Source organism: Homo sapiens, chromosome 3 (genome assembly GCF_000001405.40).
Source record: "Homo sapiens chromosome 3, GRCh38.p14 Primary Assembly".
In the NCBI taxonomy this organism is placed as follows: domain Eukaryota; kingdom Metazoa; phylum Chordata; class Mammalia; order Primates; family Hominidae; genus Homo; species Homo sapiens.
Genome location: NC_000003.12, coordinates 15,834,233 through 15,855,015, shown reverse-complemented (window position 1 = coordinate 15,855,015; position 20,783 = coordinate 15,834,233). Strand labels below are relative to the sequence as shown.

The 20,783-nt window shown below is 37.7% G+C and overlaps 1 protein-coding gene across 12 annotated transcripts in view, besides 2 other annotated features; it reads left to right on the top strand.

Moving 5' to 3' along the window:
- ANKRD28 (ankyrin repeat domain 28) overlaps positions 1–20,783 on the top strand; it is a 192,579-nt gene that overhangs the window by 4,799 nt on the left and 166,997 nt on the right. The window lies entirely within an intron of this gene.
- Positions 8,123–8,622: an enhancer, noted in NCBI's record as "H3K27ac hESC enhancer chr3:15887901-15888400 (GRCh37/hg19 assembly coordinates)". NCBI's record gives its function as "activates a minimal SCP1, AML or CMV promoter by ChIP-STARR-seq in primed H9 embryonic stem cells {active_cell/tissue: H9 hESC(primed)}" and the evidence as "EXISTENCE:reporter gene assay evidence [ECO:0000049][PMID:30033119]".
- Positions 9,111–9,190: an enhancer, noted in NCBI's record as "active region_19538". NCBI's record gives its function as "activates an Ori minimal core promoter by ATAC-STARR-seq in GM12878 lymphoblastoid cells {active_cell/tissue: GM12878}" and the evidence as "EXISTENCE:reporter gene assay evidence [ECO:0000049][PMID:35858748]".

Sequence of the window (20,783 nt, the reverse complement as noted above, 5' to 3'; positions counted from 1 at the left end):
GTGCAGCGGCACGATCTTGGCGCATTGCAACCTCTGCCTCCCTAGTTCAAGCAATTCTCCTGCCTCAGCCTCCCTAGTAGCTGGGACTACAGGCGCCCACCACCACACCCAGCTAATTTTTGTAATTTTAGTAGAGACGGGGTTTCACCATGTTGGCCAGGATAGTCTCAATCTCGTGACCTTGTGATCCACCCACCTTGGCCTCCCAAAGTGCTGGGATTACAGGCGTGAGCCACCATGCCTGGCGTGTCTTCCTGTTTTGTGCTGGAGATGACAGGGGACACAAGGGTGAAGTAGCTACCATCTCTACCCTTACAGATCTTAGAAGAGGGGAAAAAAAAAACACATAGATGTAGGGTAAGTGAGATACATCACATGAAGAGACTTATAGAGGCTGAAGGAAAACATGTGGAGCATATTAATTGAAAATGTAACATACAGTTCAAAAACAAGTTCTGTGTTTCCTCACTTTTTGGATACCTTTTGCAATACAAAATAGAACCTGGTGAGCTCTGTAAGAGGTGCAGATAACATGTTTCAGAATTTAAAGGATCAGATAATCTGATTGTAAGTGGAGGGAAACCCTCATGGCAGGGGAGGTATTTTAGGTTCACCAGAAGTATATGTGGATGTTGAAAGCAAGCAGTTGTCAATGAAAGCAACAAGAGGGAACTGTGAAGGCAAGCCAGGAAGGATGGATGGGATAATCAGGAGATAGTCTTGATTGGAGTGTGTAGTTGGAAAAGAGAAGATAAATTAGTTAACAGTGACTACATTAAGTACTTTGAATCCCAGGCTGAGAAGTTTGGACTTCATTGGTAAGTGATGGGACGTTTGAGCTGGGCCTCCTTAAAATAGGGCCTGCGAAGGTTTTGGCAAGAATGTGCAGGTATGGATCCTCAGAGGGGTCCATGATCACTGAAAGTTAGATAACCATTACAGGTTTTGGAAGAGTAGATTACAAAAGGCAGACAAACAGGGACACCCAGGACCAGTTAGGTAGCTACTGCTGTAAATCAGAACATACGTAAAATATTTTAGTACAGATCGAGAACATTAAGTACTAGGCAAAAGTTTGAATGAGAGTGAGTATATCTTAAAATATTTCTCATAGCTATATTAATGACCTGTTTGTATCTACAATTGAGAGTGTCTTGGATTTGTATGATAATTGGTAATTTTTTGGATACATAGTTCCAGTAGGGTAAATTCAACATTATGAAAATACAATTAAACATTGATTTTAGGGCCGGGCGCGGTGGCTCATGCCTGTAATCCCAGCACTTTGGGAGACCGAGGCGGGCGGATCATGAGGTCAGGAGATCGAGACCATCCTGGCTAACACGGTGAAACCCCATCTCTACTAAAAATACAAAAAATTAGCCAGGCGTGGTGGCGGGCGCCTGTAGTCCCAGCTACTCGAGAGGCTGAGGCAGGAGAATGGCATGAACCCAGGAGGCGGAGCTTGCAGTGAGCCAGAATCGTACTACTGCACTCCAGCCTGGGCGACAGAATGAGACTCCATCTCAAAAACAAAAAAACAAAAAAAACCATAAAACATTGATTATGGTAGTTAAAGAGCAGATAACCCAAATAGTTAGATTTTGGATACATTTTTTCAGCATTTTGTCTTATTTCCTTTTTAATTTTCTAGTCTAATGTAAAATTTATATTCAGTGAATGTACTCATTCTGGACTGGGGTGAGATGCCCATGGAAAATACCCTGTACCTGGAGGAAATAGTTCAGGATTAGGTCTTTTGTTTTGAATAATGTATCCTATGGGCGGTTCACATCATATCAAATCAGTAACAAAGTAATACCTTAAATTTAAAGCCAAAATTAATGAAATTATTAGTTACTTAAAACAGTAATGTTTTAAACTGTTACTGGGATATTGTATACAATGTAAAGTTGAAGTGGTTTAATTTTCAAATATTTTAGGTTTAATTTCCATTCCCATCCCTCATCCCCAATTCTTAGTTATGCTATTAAATTATTCATCCACCCTCCTTAAGCGATACTGATTTAAAAAAAAGTTACCAGGATTCTTCTATGTGTATGCTGATTGGCTTACATAGTAGAGTCTGGATAGAATTATTATGCCTATTAGCTTTTGTGAGAAGGCTACTTTTGCCTAGTCAATTTAAGTTGACATTCTTTTTTTTTTTTTTTTTTTTTTTTGAGACAGAGTCTCGCACTGTCGCCCAGGCTGGAGTGCAGTGGCACAATCTCAGCTCACTGCAAGCTCCACCTCCCAGGTTCATACCATTCTTCTCTCTCAGCCTCCCAAATAGCTGGGATTACAGGCACCCGCCACCATGCCTGGCTAATTTTTTGTATTTTTAGTAGAGACGGGGTTTCACCGTGTTAGCCAGGATGGTCTCGATCTCCTGACCTCGTGATCCGCCCGCCTCGGCCTCCCAAAGTGCTGGGATTACAGGCGTGAGCCACCATGCCCGGCGTAAGTTGACATTCTTATTGGTAAGGGTTTACTCGTCTAGATTTATCTATTTATAAATTTAAAGATATGTATTTTCTATTCCTCAGGATTTAAGTCCAAAGATAATATTAAAACATCTAGCACAAGACAGTTAAAATACTTTAAAAAGGCAATTGAGTAGAGAAATTCAGAAACTTAGAATAAGAGTTGTTATAGATGAGAATTACATTTATTTCCTGTTACCAAAAATACTAAAGAAATACAGGTTTTATAATAAGGAAGCATAAATTAGTATAGAGAGGCAGCCTTTTCTCTTGAACAATTTCTATATTAAAAAGTTTGATCTTTTTTATATTTTAACCAGCATTATTGAGATGTAATTCACACACAAACTTAAATTGTACAATTAAGTGTTTTTTAATATATTCACAAAACTGTGCAAGTACCACCAAAATCCATTTTAGAACATTTTATGACAAAAACCTTTTACCCCTAAACTATCAACCCCCGAACCTCCATTCTTGCCAGCTTCTTGACGACTACTATTCTGTCTCTGTAGACTTTTCCTGTTTCACTTGGTGTGTTTTCAGGGTTCATCCACTTTGTAGCAAGTATTTGTATTTATTTTTAATTGGTGAATAATATTCCATTGTATGGATATACCATATTTTCTTTATCCATTCATCAGTTCATGGACATTTGTGTTTACATTTTTTGGTTGTTATGCTGATACAAACATTTGTGTACAAGATTTTATGTAGACGTAAGTTTTCATTTCTCTGGGATATAGGAATGGAATCATTGGGTAGTATGGTAACTCTGTATTTAGCCTTTTGAGGAACTATTCTGTTTTCTAGAGTGGCTGCACCATTTTTCATTCCCAGCAGCGTATGAGCATTCCAGTTTCTCCACATCCTCAATACTACTCGTTATTGTCTGTCTTAAATTATAGCCATCCTAGTGTGTCTGAAGTTGTATCTCTTTTATTTATTTATTTATTTATTTATTTATTTATTTATTTATTTATTTTGACACAGAGTCTCACTTTGTCACTCAGGTTGGAGTGCAGTGGCATGATCACGGCTCACTGCAGCTTCAACCTCCTGGGCTCAAGTTATCCTCCTGCCTCAGCCCCCCAAGTAGCTGGGAGTACAGGTACATGCCACTATTCACAGCTAATTTTTTTTTATTTTTGGCAGAGATGGGTTTTTGCCGTGTTGCCCAGGCTGGCCTTGAACTTACGAGTTCAAGCCATGTGCAGCCCTCCCCCTCCCCAGCCTACCAAAGTGCTAAGATTACAGGTGTGAGCCACTGCACCCAGTCATGAAGTAGTATCTTACTGCAGTTTTGATGCCTAATGATGTTGAGCATCTTTTCATGTGCATATTGGCCATTTGTGTGTCTATTTTGGAGAAGTATTTATTTGTGATAAGGATATAGGAAAAAACAAACCCAGTTTCTCTTACTATAATCTGACAACATAGAATGCTTTTGTGAGCAAATGTGTCACATTTCAGTTTTCCCCCACATACCAAGGAAGCAACCAGTTCTTCAGCAAATTCTCCAGTGTACACCAGCTAGATGTCCTCTCATTCAGTTTAGTTCTGACACTGTCTACCTGTAGATATTGTCAGATCCACAAGTGCAGTCCCACAAGACTGCCTCCACTTCAGATGCCAGTTGCAAGCCCCAAGTTGTTTTACTTGGGCTTCTGATGACTGGCTATAAATTGGAGTTCCCATGACCCCCTCCTTGGGTTTGATTAATTTGGTGGAGCAGTTCACAGAACTCAGGGAAAACCTTATTTTTACTTATTTATTCTAAAGGATGTTACAAAAGGATAGAGATGGAAGAAATACATAGGGTGAAGTATGGCAGAAAGAGTAGAAGCTTCCATGCCCTCTCTGGGGATGCCACTGTCCAGGAATCTCCGTGTGTTCAGCCCAGAAGCCTCCTGAACCCAACAGAAGAGAAGACAGAGACAGTAGGTGAGAAGGCCATGTAAAGATGGAGGCAAAGGTTGGAGTCATACAGTTCCAAGCCAGTGAACTCCAGGAGCCCAGATGCTGGAAAAGGCAAGGAAGGACTTCCCCTTAGTGTTCAGAAGGTCACCTTGATTTCAGGCTAGTACTCTCCACAACTGTGAGAGAATACATTTCTGTTTTTTAAGCTACCAAATTTATGGTTATCTGTTATGGTCATTTGTTAGCCCTAGGGAGCTAATATAAGGAAAAGTTTTTAGCTCTTACATTTAGGGCTGTGATCCATATTGAGTTGTTTTGTATATGCTATGAGGTAGGATTTCAACTTTCTCTCTCTCTCTCTCTCTCTCTCTCTCTCTCTCTCTCTATATATATATATATATATATTTTTTTTTTTTTTTATTGCATGTAGATACCCAGTTGTCCCAGTGCCATTTGTTGAAAAAGGTAATCTTTCCCCCATTGAATTGTCTTGGCATCTGTATCATAAATCAGTTGACTCTAAATGTGGGAGTTTATTTCTGGGCTCTCAGTTCTGTTCCATTGGTCTATATGTCTGTCCCCATGCCAGTACCATGCTGTCTTGATAACTGTAGGTTTGTAGTGTACAGAGTCAGAGATCGCTTCCAACCCTGCTTTAACCTCTTACTTGGCTCTTCAGCTGAGTCTAGAAACCACATTGACACCAGGCAGATTAACAAGAGAAAAATATACAAATTTAATAAGTTTTCCGTATACATGGTGATCTTCACAAGAGATTGAATTCTGAAGAAGTGACCAAAGCAAGATGCTTTTATACTTTTTAGACAAAGAATGATAAATTTGAGGAAAAATGATAGAACAAAGAAAATCTGGCTGGGGCAGAAAATTTTCTAGGGGAGTTAACTAGGAGATATATTGGGGAGGGGTGTGAAACAGGTAGAAGATAAGGATTACTTCCTTAAGAATATTTATTCAGGTCCATTGTAGCTTCCAATTCCAACTCTCTGGAAGTAAGGGTTATTTTTCTCTCCCTGGTATGGTGAGGGTACCCCTCCTAGAGGAATCTTTATGTCTTGGCTGCGTGTAGGAAGAGACAGGTTAGCTCACCCTGTCTTTGTAGAAAACTACAATTTCTCTAATGTTTTCAACTCAAAATAATCACTATACCAATCTGACTTATATCTTGGAATGACAGATCCTTCACTCCTTCAGTAGTAAGTTTGAAATTGGGAAGTGCAAGTCTTCCAATTTTTGTTTTTGTTTTTTAAGATTTTGGCTTTTATGGGTCACTTGCATTCCCATATTTTAGCATCCATGGGTCAATTTCTTCCAGAAAGACAGTTGTAATTTCGATAGGTATTGTATTGAATCAATAGATCAATTTGGGAAATACTGCCATCTTAATGATAATAGTCTTTCCATGAACATGGGATGCTTTCCATTTATTAAGGTTCTTTAATCTCATCGTATCTTGTAGTTTCAAGAGTACAAGTTTTGGACTTTCTTAAATTTCTAAGGTTTTAAAATGCTATTGTGTATGGAATTTTCTTATTTTTAGATTGTTTATTGGTAATATATAGAAATACAAGTGATTTTATATATTGCTTTTGAATCCTACAACTTTGTTGAACTTTCTTATTAGCACTAATACTTTTTTAGTGGCTAGAGATAATTTTCCGTGACTAGAGATAATTTTGCTTTTTTCTTTCCAGTCTGGATGCTTTTTATTTCTTGCTTACTTGCCCAGACTAGAACCTCCAGTACGGTGTTCAGTAGAAGTGGTGAGAGTAGACATCCTTGTCTTGTTCATGATCTTTCATCATTAAGTATGATGTAGCTGTTGGTTTTTCATAGATGGTTTTTATTAGGTTGAGGAAGTTCCTTCCTATTTCTAATTTATTGATTGTTAGCTGCTGCTATATTTTTTTTTTTTTAAGTTAAGGTCTCACTTTGTCACCCAGGCTGTAGTGCAGTGGTGTGATCATGGCTTACTTGCAGCCTAGACCTCCTGGGCTCAAGCGATTCTCCCACCTCAGCCTCCTGAGTAGGTGGGACCACAGGCATGCACCACTATGCCTGGCTAATTTTTTAATTTTTTTGTAGAGATGGGTCTCCCTCTGTTGCCCAGGCTGGTCTTCAGCTTTTGGGCTCAAGTGATCCTCCTACCTTGGCTTCCCAAAGCACTGGGATTACAGGTGTGAGCCACTACATTCAGCTATTGTTAGCTTCTTAAACATGGATTAAATAGCCCCTGTCTTGCACAAGGTAGCTATTTGGGTATAATGAAAGTTTAGGAAAGAAAAATCCCCTGGTTTTAACCAAGATCACATTATTGTCAGAGTTTCTTCATTCTTAAGACTTCCAAATACTGTTTCTTTAGTGGTGATTCCCAAATTTGTGGTTCTGGTTTTGAGTTTTCACCTAAGTTTGAATCTCTCTAACATCTGCCTATTTGATAATTCCAGTTAGCTACATTTGTGTTGCCCCAAATTCAGCATGACTGTTTGTAAATTTATTTGACTCTGATTTTATTGTGCATCAAGTGCTATACCAGACTCCAAAGGACACAAGAGTGTGTTTGGAGAACTGTCAAGAAGTAAATATGGTTGCAACACAGAGGACTTGAAGTGAGAAGAAATGACCCTGTTGGAGATAAGGGCCAAATCATGAAGATCCTGTGTGCTGAGTTCTAAGTTGGAACTTTATTCTGAAAGCAATCATGAGCCACTGGAAGAGGCAAAGCAGGGAATCGGTGCAGGATTTTGTTTTGAATCAATTCTGGAAGATAGTATAGAATATAGGTTTGTGTTGAAGGTGAAGCTGGAGGCAGGTGGAACTGGTAGTAAGTGTTATCCATTTGAAAAGTGGTTTTTACCTAAGATACTGGCAAAAGGGATGGATTCCAGAGATACTTAGGATGTAAAATTGATAGGACTTGATAACTGGATAGTAGGGGCTGAAGGAGAAGGATGACTCTTCAGTAACTCCTGGGGATTTGACTAGAGGGCCTAAGATTTAGAGCATGCTGGAAGAGCTGGTTTGAAGGTGAGGTGAATTCAGTTTTGGATATATTGAGGTCCTTGTAGGACATCTAAATGGAGAAGTGTTGTTACAGTAGACAGTTAAATGTGAGGCTGGGCTTTTAGGTGATAATTAAAGTGAATGAGGTCACTCAAGGAATGAGAAAAAGCTCATGGCCCAGCAGAGTATCATGGAAAATATGGAATGAATGGAGGAAAGAAAATCTAAGAAGCTGCTAGAGTTAGGAAGAAAGCCATAAGAGATTGCTATCACAAGCAATCCCAGTTGCACCCTATATTCTCTTAGACATGAAGTCTTAATTTTTTCATCACTTTTTAGTTTTTCTTTATTTAGTACATTCTTTTAAATTTTTCATGGAAAAGTTTCTTGTTTGCTCCAAGTTCTTTACTTTCTAAGCCACTGTTTCCTAACTTTGGAGCATACATCAGAGTCACTTGGCAAGCTTAAATACATATTCTTTGGGATCCTATTAGACCTGCTGAATGATGATCTTCTGGGGGTAATGCCCCAGAATCTGTGTCTTAAAACCTCTTGTGGTAAAGACTAGCTTGCTGTTTACCAAACTTGTTTTCTTTTCTCCCAGGCCCCAGATAACTTATATTTACTAGACCTTTTGTGTTTGGGGATGGCCATATGATTGAAATCTGGCCATAGGAAATAAAGCAGAAGTGTTGAGTGTTACTTTAGTCCTGGCAAATAGAAACCTCCCTTGAAAGATTGTCTTTCTTTTCCACCTGCTGGCTGGGTGGTGGTTGCCAGAGCAACTTTGGAAATGAGGGGTCAAAGAGAACTGAACTTCTTTCAGCCTGGGTTGTCTCCAGCCTCCTCAGGCACACCCAGCTGATCATTAACATAGATTTTTTGACTTTATGTGAGCATGAAATAAAAATAACCTATTCTGTTATGTGATAATTTGGGATTTATCCATTACAGCATCCACTATTACTTTAATCAGTGGAGCTCTTTCGATTGTTATAAAATGGTCAGAATTTAGGAACTGTTGCCCTTGGTTTATACTGTTTGTATTTTTTAACTCGTTTATATGGTAGGTAAGCTTTCAGCTGTTGACTTCCAGACCCTGTATATATTGTGTTTGTGAAAGCAGCCTCGGGGGCTTTACCCTGCAGAGCCACAGGGGCAGAGCTGCCCAAGGCCTTGAGAGCTCACCTCTTGCATCAGTGTGCCCTGGATGTGAGACATGGAGTCAAAGGAGATTATTTTGGAGCTTTAAGATTTAATGACTGCCTTGCTGGGTTTCAGACTTGCATGGGGCCAGTAGCCTCTTTGTTTTGGCCAGTGTCTCCCATTGGAACAGGAACGTTTACCCAATGCCTGTACCTCCATTGTATCTTTCAAGTAACTAACTTGTTTTTTATTTTACAGACTCGTAGATGGAAGAGACTTGCCTTGTCTCAGATGAGACTTTGGGCTTGGATTTCTGAGTTAACGCTGGGACGAGTTAAGATTTTGGGAGACTATTGGAAAGGCATGGTTGGTTTTGAAATGTGAAAAGGACATGAGATTTGGGAGTGGCCAGGTGTGGAATGATATGGTTTGGCTCTGTGTCCCCACCCAAATTTCTTCTCAAATTGTAATCTCCATGTGTCAGAGGAGGGGACTGGTGAGATGCTATTGGATTGTTGGGGCAGATTTCCCCCTTGCTGTTCTCTTGATAGTGAGCGAGTTTTCACGAGATGCAATGGTTTAAAGTGTGTGGCACATACCCCTACCTCCTGCTCCACCATATTAAGACGTGCTTGCTTCCCCTTTGCCCTCCACCGTGATTCTAAGTTTCTTGAGTCATACTTCTTATTAAGCCTGTGGAACTGTGAGTCAATTAAACCTCTTTTCTTTGTAAATTACCCAGTCTCAGGTAGTTATTTATAGCAGTGTGAGAGTGGACTAATACGTGAAGGTTAACAACAGCTGGCTTTTAAAGGATGTATAAGCAGACTTCAGCATCAGAGTGAGCAGTGGAGTTGAAACCAGATAGAATAGCAAGTGTGGTATTAGTCAAGTAGATCTAATAAGTAGCCTAATCCAAGGCATAGGCAGGTAGTTAGAAACTAGCATGTCTGTAAGTGCCTGAATGATTGAAATAGAGATGTCTGGAATCAAGAAACTTCAACAGATAATGCCAAGGAGCTGTAACCTTTTAGACATTCTCAGGACAAAGAGGGAACCTAGTTGGAGTATTTCCCAATTGAGAAGCTAGTCAAGAGGGATAAATGTAATATGGAATATATATATATATATACTTTAGAAATGTTCTGGAAGATTGTGTATATGTTATGTAACAGTTAATCCACTCATTTAATAATAGGTGACTTGCTATTTTGAAGAAATGCATTGTAAGTTATTTTTAAAATAGTGATATGGTTTGGATTTGTGTGCCTAAATCTCATTTCTAGTTATAATCCCCAGTGTTGGAGGTGGGACCTTGTGGGAGGTGATTGGATCATGGGGGATTTCCCCTTTGGTACTGTTCTACATTCTCGTGAGATCTGGTTGTTTAAAAGTGCCTAGCACCCCCGTGTCCCCATTTTGCTCCTGCTCCAGCCATGTAAGATATGCCTGCTTCTCCTTTGCCTTCTGCCATGATTATAAGTTTCCTGAGGCTTCCCCAGAAGCAGAAACCGCTATGCTTCCTATACAACCTGCCAAACTGTGAGCCAATTAAACCTCTTTTCTTTATAAATTACCCAGTTTCAGGTATTTTATAGCAGTGTGAGAACCGACTAATACAAATAGAGTCCCTTAATAAAACAAATTCCCATTCAGTTAATCTTTTATTATAAAACTGAATTTCTGTATATCATCTTCACTTAAATTTAAGTGCAGTGACTGTTTAACTATTACAGATTATCAATACGGAGATTATTTTACATGTCTTGGTGTATTATTGGTTTTAGAACCTCCTATGTTTTAACTATTAAAGTATCGCTTTTAATGTCACTAATCAACCTGTTCATATTGTTGTCTCCTTACTAACAATATTCTGCCTTATAAGCCTTCCAGATCCATTACAAAATCACATGAACCCTTTACCTGCTCACCTTCTTGTTCTGTTACCTCCTTGGAGCCTTAGTTTTGAAATTGAGGTGTTTTGTTTTTTTTTTCTCTGACCACAACTTTTTTCATTGTCAGTTCTCCCACTTCTTTACCTACAGTGAATCTGAACTCTGCTGTATTGGAACCTACTTCATCTAATCTGTTTGGTTCCCTTTCGCCACAAACTGACCTCTTGAGAAGTCTTGACCTTGTGATTTGAGCAACATTATGTATAATAGTGTTTTCTGAAGTATGGGACAGTTTTTACTACCGGTATATTTCTTGAGATTTTGTTTGGGTGACCAGTCTACTTTAATTACTAGATATTGATTGATACTTCTTTGCTCACAGTCCAGAATCAGTCCAGACTGGGTGTTGTAGGCATAATTATCCCATGCCTGCATTATTCTGGGCTATTTGAGGGTCTCCCAGCTCACTTCATATCAACCATTATGGAGCTTTATTCTTCATTTTGTTCTCTACAACACCCATCCCCTTTTTCTTCAACTATCACCTACCCTACCCAGCTTTCGTTCCTGCATTTCCACCTTAACCTCCCTTCCTTTAGCCCTTTTGGCCCAACTTTTTAAGCCTTAACTCCTAATGTACACACGCTTTCAGTCTTCTCCTTTTCATCTCCATCTTCTGCCTCTTGCAACTTGCCCATTGCTTTCGTATTGATACCCTTGCTTATTGTAAATTGTTTTATTTCTACATTTTGATTTCTGCCTCTTTTTTTTTTTTATTATTTTTGGCTCAAACTGGCCTACTGTACTCTTAATTCTATCTTTATCTGAAATTTAGATGTATTGTTTATCTCTTATTTGTATTCATTTTTTTTACCCATTGCTTTCTTATTGATACCTTTCCTTATTGTAAATTGTTTTATTTCTACACTTTAATTTCTGCCTCTCTCTCTTTTTTTTCCCTTATTTTTGGCTCAAACTATTCTGCTGTACTCCTAATTCTATCCTTATTTGAAATTGAGGTGTATTGTTTATCTCTTATTTTTCATTTTTTTTGTACTTCTCCTCCTGCCACTACATATTGTTGTATATTGGTGTCCGGATGGACGCTATTAAGATTCTGATGCTCAGATGGGGCAAAACCAGGTGATAGAGTTTGGATGTGTGTTCTTGCCCACATCTCATGTTGACATGTAATCTTTAGTGTTGGGATTGGGGTCTGGTGAGAGGTGATTGGATCATGGGGGCAGATTTCTCATGAATGGCTTAGCACCATCCCCTTGATGATGTCCCTGTGATAGTGAGTTCTCATGAGATCTGGTCATTTAAAAGTGTGTGGCACCTCGCCACTTGATCTGTCTTGCTCCTACTTTCACCATGTGATGTGCCTGCTACCTCTTTGCCTTCCACCATGATTGAAAGCTTCTTGAGGCCTCCCTGGAAGCAGATACCACTATGATTCCTGTATAGCCTGCAAAAGGATGAGCCAGTTAAACCTCTTTTCTTATAAATTACCCAGTCTTGGATATTTCTTTATAGCAAGGCGAGAACAGTCTAATATACCAGATAAGCAACACTCATTACATAATTTAGCCTTAACAAGGCTTGTTTCTGTCCGGGTGTGCTATATATAACAGTATAACTTTAAAAATCTTGTTTTCTTCAGTGTAAAGCAGTAAATCAAAGTTGTTTGAGTTGAATTTCTTTGGTTAGTGAAAACATTCATTCCCATCAGCATATGTCAAGTTTAAATATTAATATATGTAATATTCCAAAAAAACCAAACTTTTATTTATGTTTTAAAAAATTTTTGTTTTTAGCTTTTGTGGGTACACAGTAGGTGTATATATTTATGGGTTACAGGAGCTATTTTGATACAGGCATGCAGTGCATATACTAACCACATCTGGGTAAATGGGGTATCCATCACCTCAAGCATTTGTGCTTTGTGTTATAGACAACCCAGTTATGCTCTTTTGTTATTTTAAAATGTTCATTTAAATTATTTTTGACTATAGTCACCCTGATGTGCTGCCAAATGCTAGGTCATATTCATTCTTTCTATTTTTTTCTACCCATTAACCCTCCCCACCCCTCCATCCCCCAACTACCCTTCCCAGCCTCTGAGAAAGGATGGGTCTCAGAGGATGGTCTTCCCAACCATCCTTCTACTGTCTGTCTCCATGAGTTCAATTGTTTTAATTTTTAGCTTCCACAAATAAGTGAGAACATGCAAACTTTGTCTTTTTGTGCCTGGCTTATTTCACTGAACATAATTACCTCCAGTTCCATGTTGTTGCAAATGACAGGCTGTGATTCTTTTTTATAGCTGAACAGTATGTGTGTATGGACCATATATTCTTTGTTAATGGACATTTAAGTTGCTTCCAAATCTTGGTTGTTGTGAATAATAACCAAGGTTTTTATATATAATGTGCATATTATATATCAATTATTATAAAATAATATAAAAATTATAAAATAAAATTATATATAAATTATGTTATATATAAAAATTATACACAATATATAACATTATACATATAAATTATGCCTATATAATAACATGGGAGTGCAGATATCTCTTCAATATACTGATTTCCTTTCTTTGGGTTATACCAAGCAGATGGATTACTGGATCATATGGTAGTGCTAGTGCCATTTTTAGTTTTTTGAGGAACCTCCAAACTGTTCTCCCTAGTGGTTGTACTAGTTTGCATTCCTACCAACAGTGTACAAGGGTTCCCTTTTCTCCACATCCTCTCCAGCACTTGTTATTGTCTGACTTTTGGATAAAAGCCATTTTAACTGCGGTGAGATGATTGTAGTTTTGATTTGCATTTCTCTGATGCTCAGTGATGCCGAGACCCTTTTCATGTACCTGTTTGCCATTTACATGTTTTCTTTTGAGAAATGCCTATTCAGATCTTTTGCCCATTTTTTTTTATTGGGTTATTAGGTTTTTTTTCTGTACATTTGTTTGAGCTCCTTATATTCTCTGGTTATGAATCCCTTGTCAGAGAATTAGTTTGCAGATATTTTCTCCCATTCTATGGGTTGTCTCTTCACTTTGTTGATTATTTCCTTTGCTGTGCAGAAGCTTTTTAACTTGATGTGAAAATATTTTCTCCCATTCTGTGGGTTGTCTCTTCACTTTGTTGATTATTTCCTTTGCTGTGCAGAAGCTTTTTAACTTGATGTGACCCCATTTGTCCATATTTGCTTTGATTGCCTGTGCTTGTGGAGTATTAGCCAAGAAATCTTTGCCCAGTCAGTGTCCTGAAGAGTGTCCCAGATGTTTTCTTTCAGTAGTTTCATAGTTTGAGGTCTTGGATTTAAGTCTTTAATCCATCTTGATTTGATTTTTGCATATGGCAAGAGGTAGGGGTCTTCATTCTTTTTTTCTTTTTTTGAGACACAGTCTTGCTCTGTTGCCTAGGCTGGAGTGCAGTGGCGCGGATCTCGGCTTACTGCAACCTCTGCCTCCCAGGTTCAAGCAGTTCTGCCTCAGCCTCCTGAGTAGCTGGGATTACAGGCGTGCACCATCATGCCTGGCTAATTTTTGTATTTGTAGTAGAGACAGTGTTTTGCCATTTTGGCCAGGCTTGTCTCAAACTCCTGACCTCAAGTGATCCGCCCACCTCGGCCTCCCAAAGTGCTGGGATTACAGGCGTGAGCCACCACACCCGGCCAGGAGTCTTCATTCTTTTCCATGTAGAGATCCAGTTTTCCTGGCACCATTTATTGAAGAGACTACCCTTTCCCTAATGTGTGTTCTTGGCACATTTGTCAAAAATGAGTTCATTGTAGGTGTGTGGATTTATCCCTGGGTTCTCTATTGTGTTCCACTGATCTATGTGTCTTTTTATGCTAATACCATGCTGTTTTGGTTAGGATAGTTCAGTTGCATAATTTGAAGTCAGGTAGTGTGATTCCTCCAGTTTGTTCTTTTTGCTTAGGCTAGATTTGGCTATTCTGGGTCTTTTGTTGTTCCATATAAATGTTAGGATTGTTTTTTTTTCTATTTCTGTGAAGAATGTCATTGGTATTTTGTCATTGGCATTGCATTAAATCTATAGATTGCTGTTGGCAGTGTGAACATTTTAATGATATTGATTCTTCCAATCCATGAACATGGAGTATCTTTCCATTTTTTGTGTGTCTTCATCAATTTTTTTGCATCAGTGTTTTATAATTTTCATTGTAGAGGTCTTTCATTTCTTTGGTTAATTCCTGGTATTTTATTTGTAGCTGTTATAAATGGAATTACTTTCTTGATTTCTTTTTCAGATTGTTTGCTGTTAGCATATAGAAATGCTACTGAGTATTGTATGTTGATTTTTGTATCTTGCAACTTTACTGAATTTATCAGTTCTAATAGTTTTTTTGTGTGTGGAGTCTTTAGGATTTTTCAAATATAAGATCATATCATCTGCAGACAAGGATAATTGGACTTCCTTTCCAGTTTGGATGCTCTTTATTTCTTTCTCTTGTCTGATTTCTCTAGGACTTCCAGTACTATGTTGAATAACAGTGGTGACAGTGGGCATCCTAGTTGTGGTCCAGATCTTAGAGGATAGACTTTCCAATTTTCCCCATTCAGTGTGATACTAGCTATGTGTCTGTGGTATATGGCTTTCATTATGTTGAGGTATGTTTCTTCTGTATCTAGTTTTGTGAGAGTTTTTATTATGAAGGGATGTTGAATTTTATCAAATGCTTTTTCAGCATCAGTTGACATGACTATGTGGTTTTTGTCCTTCATTTTGTTGATATGATGTATCATATTAATTGATTGCATGTGTTGAACCATCCTTGCATCCCTCGGGGGATAAGTCCCACTTGGTCATGATGAATGATTTTTTTTAGTGTGTTGTTGAATTTGGTTTGCTAGTATTTTGTTGAGGATTTTTTGAGTCAATATTACTCAGTGATATTGGCCTATCGTTTTCTTTTTTTTTAATGTGTCTTTGTCTGGTTCATGTATCATGTTATTATTTACCCTGCAGATGGAAATTTGACCCACTCTTCAAGTAGCCCTCTATCTGAGCCACATTGATTCTGAAATGTGATTATAGTTTTCATTGGTTTGGTGTTCCTGTGTGCTGAATCAACATGTCAGAAAATCTTCCCTTTTACCCACTTTGGTTCTCTCCAGCTGTAATTCAGTTGTTTTTTGTTATGTCTTCTACAGCTAAGGTCCTGAACAGCTGATCAGCCTTTTAAGTTGGATTAAAAGAGCTGGTGATTGGTTAGATCAGTGTGTTTTTTTTTTAACAGTTTATTGAGGTATAATTTATATACCATAAAATTCATAAAATGTCTTGAGTGCAATTTGTTTTCAGTAAATTTAAAGAATTTTGCACTCATCATTACAAACCAGTTTTAGAGTATTTTCATCACCCCAAAAAGATACCTTGTACCTACTTTGCAGTTACTCCTAGTCCCACCTCCAGCCCCAGGCCACCATTGAATAATGGTTTTATTTTATAAACTTTTATGGACATTTTATATAAGTGGAGTCATATGATACGTGATCATTTTTTGTCTGGCTTTTAAAAATTTGGTATAAATGTTGTTGAGGTTCATTCATGTTGTAACATGTATTAATTGGTTCTTCGTTGCTGAATAGTATTCCATTGTATGGATATATCACATATTGTTTATCCATTCACAAGTTGATGGAAATTTGAATTGTTTCCCATTTTTGGCAACTATGAATAATACTGCTATGAATATTCATGTATGAGTCTGTGTATGGACACGTTTTAACTTCTCTTGCGAAGATTTTTTTTTTTTTTTGAGACGGAGTTTCGTTCTTGTTGCCCAGGCTGGAGTGCAGTGGCGTGGTCCCGGCTCACTGCAACCTCTACCTCCTGGGTTCAAGTAGTTCTCCTGCCTCAGCCTCCCAAGTAGCTGGGATTACAGGCATGTGCCACCATGCCCGACTAAGTTTTTTGTATTTTTAGTAGAAATGGGGTTTCACCATGTTGGCCAGGCTGGAGGCTGGTCTCAAACTCCTGACCTCAGGTGATCTGCCCGCCTCGGCCTCCCAAAGTGCTGGGATTATAGGTGTGAGCCCACCATGCCTGGCCACAAAGATTCTTGAGTAGAATCGCTGGGTCGTATAATAAGCTTATGTTTAATGTTTTAAGAATAGCCAATTTGTATGATTCCTATTGTATGCTGCTGGATTTGGTTTGCTGATATTTTGTTAGGATTAAAAAAAATCTCTATTCGTGTGATATCTTTGTCTGGCTTTGGTATTAAGGTAATGTTAGCCTCATGGAGGGAATTAGAAAGTGTTTTCTATTGAAGTATCTAGATGAGTTTGTGAAGGATTAATATTATTTCTTTAGTGTTTGGTAAAATTCACCAGTGAAAGAAACTATGTGGGCCAAGGCTTTTCTTTGTGGGAAGATTTTAATTACTAATTTCTTTAGTTGATAGAGTTCTATTCATATTTTCTGTATCTTCTTCAGAGTCAGTAATTTGTGTCTTAGAATTTATTTTTTTCTAAGTTGTTTACATTTGTTTGTATACAGTTGTTCATAATATTCCCTTAAAATTCTTTTAATTCCTCTGAGTTCGGTAGCGATACCCTCTCTTTCATTCCTGATTTTGGTAATTAGTATCTTCATTTTTTTTTTTTTTTTCTGGTTAGCTTAATTAAAGGTTTGTCAGTTTTCTTGGTCTTTTTAAAAAACCAAATTTTGGTTTTCATTTTCTTCTTTTTCTTTTTTCTGTTTCATTGATTCTTCCTCTAATATTGATTGTTTTTTCCCCTGCTACTTGTGTTGGGTTTGGTTTGCTCCTCTTTTTCTAATTTCTTAAGGTTGAAGCTCACTTGAGAATTTTCTTTTTTAACATCACTGTGCCCAGCTATAATTTTCCCTCTAAACACTGCATTGTCTGTATCCTATGAGTTTTGATGTGTTTTGTTTACATTTTCATTCTGCTCAGAATGTATTCTAAATTCCTTTGTGATTTTTCTCTCTAGTCCATTGGTTATTTACAGGTGTCTTGTTTAATTTTCAAACATGTTTGGATTTCTGAAATTTCTTTTTATCTTTGATTTCTAATTTACTTATACAGTGATTGAAAAACATTTTTTTGTATCAGTTCAGTTCTTTTAAATTTGAGACTTGTTTTATGATCTAGCATGTGATCTATTTTGGAGATTGTTTTATATGTGCTTGAGAATAAGTTATACTGCTGTTGGGCAGAGTCTTCTATAGATGTCAGTTAGGTCAAATTTATAGTGTTGTTCAGATCTTCATTGCTAATTCCCTGCTTTCTTGTTTATTTATTGTTAGGGTGGAACATAGAAGTCTCTAATCATTATTGTTAAATTGCCTGTTGCCCCTTCATTTCTGTCATTTTTTTGATTTCCCTATTTTGGGACTGTTTTGTTAGCTCCGTATGGTTTTTATGGTTTTTTTTTTTTTTTTGAGACGGAGTCTTGCTCTGTTGCCCAGGCTGGAGTGCAGTGGTGCGACCTCGGCTCACTGCAAGCTCTGCCTCCTGGGTTCGGGCCATTCTCCTGCCTCAGCCTCCCAAGTAGCAAGGACTACAGGCGCCCGCCACCATGCCCGGCTAATTTTTTGTATTTTTAGTAGAGCCTGGGTTTCACCGTGTTAGCCAGGATGGTGTCGATCTCCTGGCCTTGTGATCTCCTGACCTTGTGATCTGCCCGCCTCGGCCTGTTATTACAGGTGTGAGCTGGGATTACAGGCGTGAGCCACCACGCCTGGCCTGTTAGCTCCATATGTTTATGTTTATCTTCCTGTTGAATTAATACTATTAATGTTAAAAAAATGTTCCTCTTTGTCTCCAGTAACTTTTTTTGACTTAAAGTCTGTTTTGTCAGGTACAAATATAACTCCTTCAGCTCTCTTATGGGTATTCTTTGTGTGGTATATGTTTTTCCATCGTTTCAGCCTGCTTGTGTCTTTGAATCTAAAGTGTTAGGTAGACAGCATACAATTAGGTATTGCTTTTTAAATCCAATCCAACAATCTCTCTTTTTAATGGAGTGTTTAATCCTTTTATATTTAATATTACTTTTGAAATGGTTGGATTTGTATCTCAGTTGCTATTTGTTTTCTATACATCTCATGTCTTTTATGTTCCTCTTTTATCACCTTTTCTATTTTCTATTTTTTATTTGATTTTTAAAAATTATATTTTTAGCGTTTGTTCCATCACAGTCTACCTCAGATTAATAATGATTGTTACATAGTAATAGTCCTCCGGTATAACTATTTTCTCTCGTCTCTTTTACTGTTGTCATATATATTATGTTAATTTATGTAATAAACCCAACAGTAATGTTTTAATTATTGCTTTGTATAGAGTTTATCTTTTAAAGAAGAAAGAGAAAAACATTTATAGTCTTTTATATTAATGTATATATTTACCACTTTCAGTATTCTTTTTTATTGTGGATTTGAGTCACCATCTAGTGTCATCTCTTTTTTTCAATATAATTCACTCCCATTTTTGTGCTTCATTTTCATATGTTTATATGGGATAAACTTGACAATACAGTTTTATAGTTGTTCTATGCAGTTACCTCTTAAGAGAAGAAAAAAGTAGAAGTTATATTTATACAGCCTTTTATACTGTCATTTTTCCTTTACCTGTAATTACCATTACCAGTGCTCTTTATTTCTTCCTGTGGATTCATTACTGTCTAGTGTCACTTTGGTCCTGGAGAACTTCCTTTAGTATCTGTCTTTCATCTATATCCCCTGAATAATACATTTTAGAGTTAGCCAGTTTACTCCCATCTTCTCAATTGGGGATCATATTCCTCATGATCTTAAGTGTGGTATTAGTTGACTAAGGATTGCGAAGGGATGGCACAAGATGAGGCTGGGAGAGAAGTTATGTAGACGTCAATTTCTAAGTATCTTACTAAGCTATGAGACTTGAACCTTATTCTTATAGCTGTGGGGGCAACCATTGGAAACTTTTATACAGAGTTCTGTCCTCAGATGTGAGGAAAGGACTTTTCAAAGATGAGTTCTAAATGTTTGTTTAGAGATGGCAGCAACAAGCCACAGGCTGTAAGAGGAACGTGAATCTACCTTTTTTTGTTGTTGTTGTTGATTCCTCCTTCTCTATTGTTTCAGGCAATTAAAAGCTATTTATATCCAAATAGCTGTTTTCTTGTAGGCATAAAATATTTGCCTATTTGTGGCAGAATGCGATATAGTTTGTAGAATGGGAACCATGATAGCATTCTGTGAGATTTGCAAAGCCACTATTATAGGATGAACAGATTGCTTACTGTTTGTGTATATGGAATGAGGTGTGTATTGAAAAATTAGATAAAACATCCTCTGGCATCTGACCTTTGTTTTTAATTCTCTCTTTCTTTTTCTTTTTTCTTTTTTTTGATACAGAGTCTTGCTCTTTTGCCCAGGCTGGAGTGCAGTGGTGCGATCTCAGCTCACTGCAACCTCCATCTCCCAAGTTAAAGAGATTCTCATGCCTCAGCCTCCCGAGTAGCTGGAATTACAGGTGTGCGCCAACACACATGGCTAATTTTTGTATTTTTAGTAGAGAGAGCATTTTGCCGTGTTGGCCAGGCTAGTCTCGGACTTCTGGCCTCAAGTGATTTGCCCACCCCTGTTTTTAATTCTTAAAGGAAGGTTGGGTATTATCAGCAGTTCTTTTTATTACTTGTGACATAACAGGGAAGTGTTTGATCTTTACTTTTAAAAAATATATTTGGTACCCACAACTTTAGTATTTTTAACCATAGAAATATCCTTTCTATAAATGTATAAATAGCTTTGTTTTTGCTTCTTAGAAAAAACTGAAGAGCAGAAAATTTTTATATTCCTGGGTTTTGCTACCAGTTTTTCATAGAAGTATGAAATGAAAGGAGAAAAATGTCCCCTTCTCCAGTCTTGCCAGATTCTGTTGTAAACAATCCTTATGATGATTAGCTTTTCAGTGGATTTTTTCCCCTTTGATTGACTTCTTCAGGAGCTCTTTTTATTCTTGTTAATAAAATCATTAAACTCTCCCATGTTCAAGAGCACGTGGAGGCATCACATTATCTGACTTCAAAATATACTGCAAGACTATAGTAACCAACACAACATGGTACTGGCATAAAAATAGATATATATATTACTGGAACAAAATAGGGAACCCAGAAATAAAGCCACATACCTACAACCAGCTAATCATCAACAAGAATATACACTGGGGAAAGGACACTCGATTCAGTAAATGGGTCTGGGAAAATTGGATAGCTATATGTAGAAGAATGAAACTGGACCCATGCCTCTCACCATATACA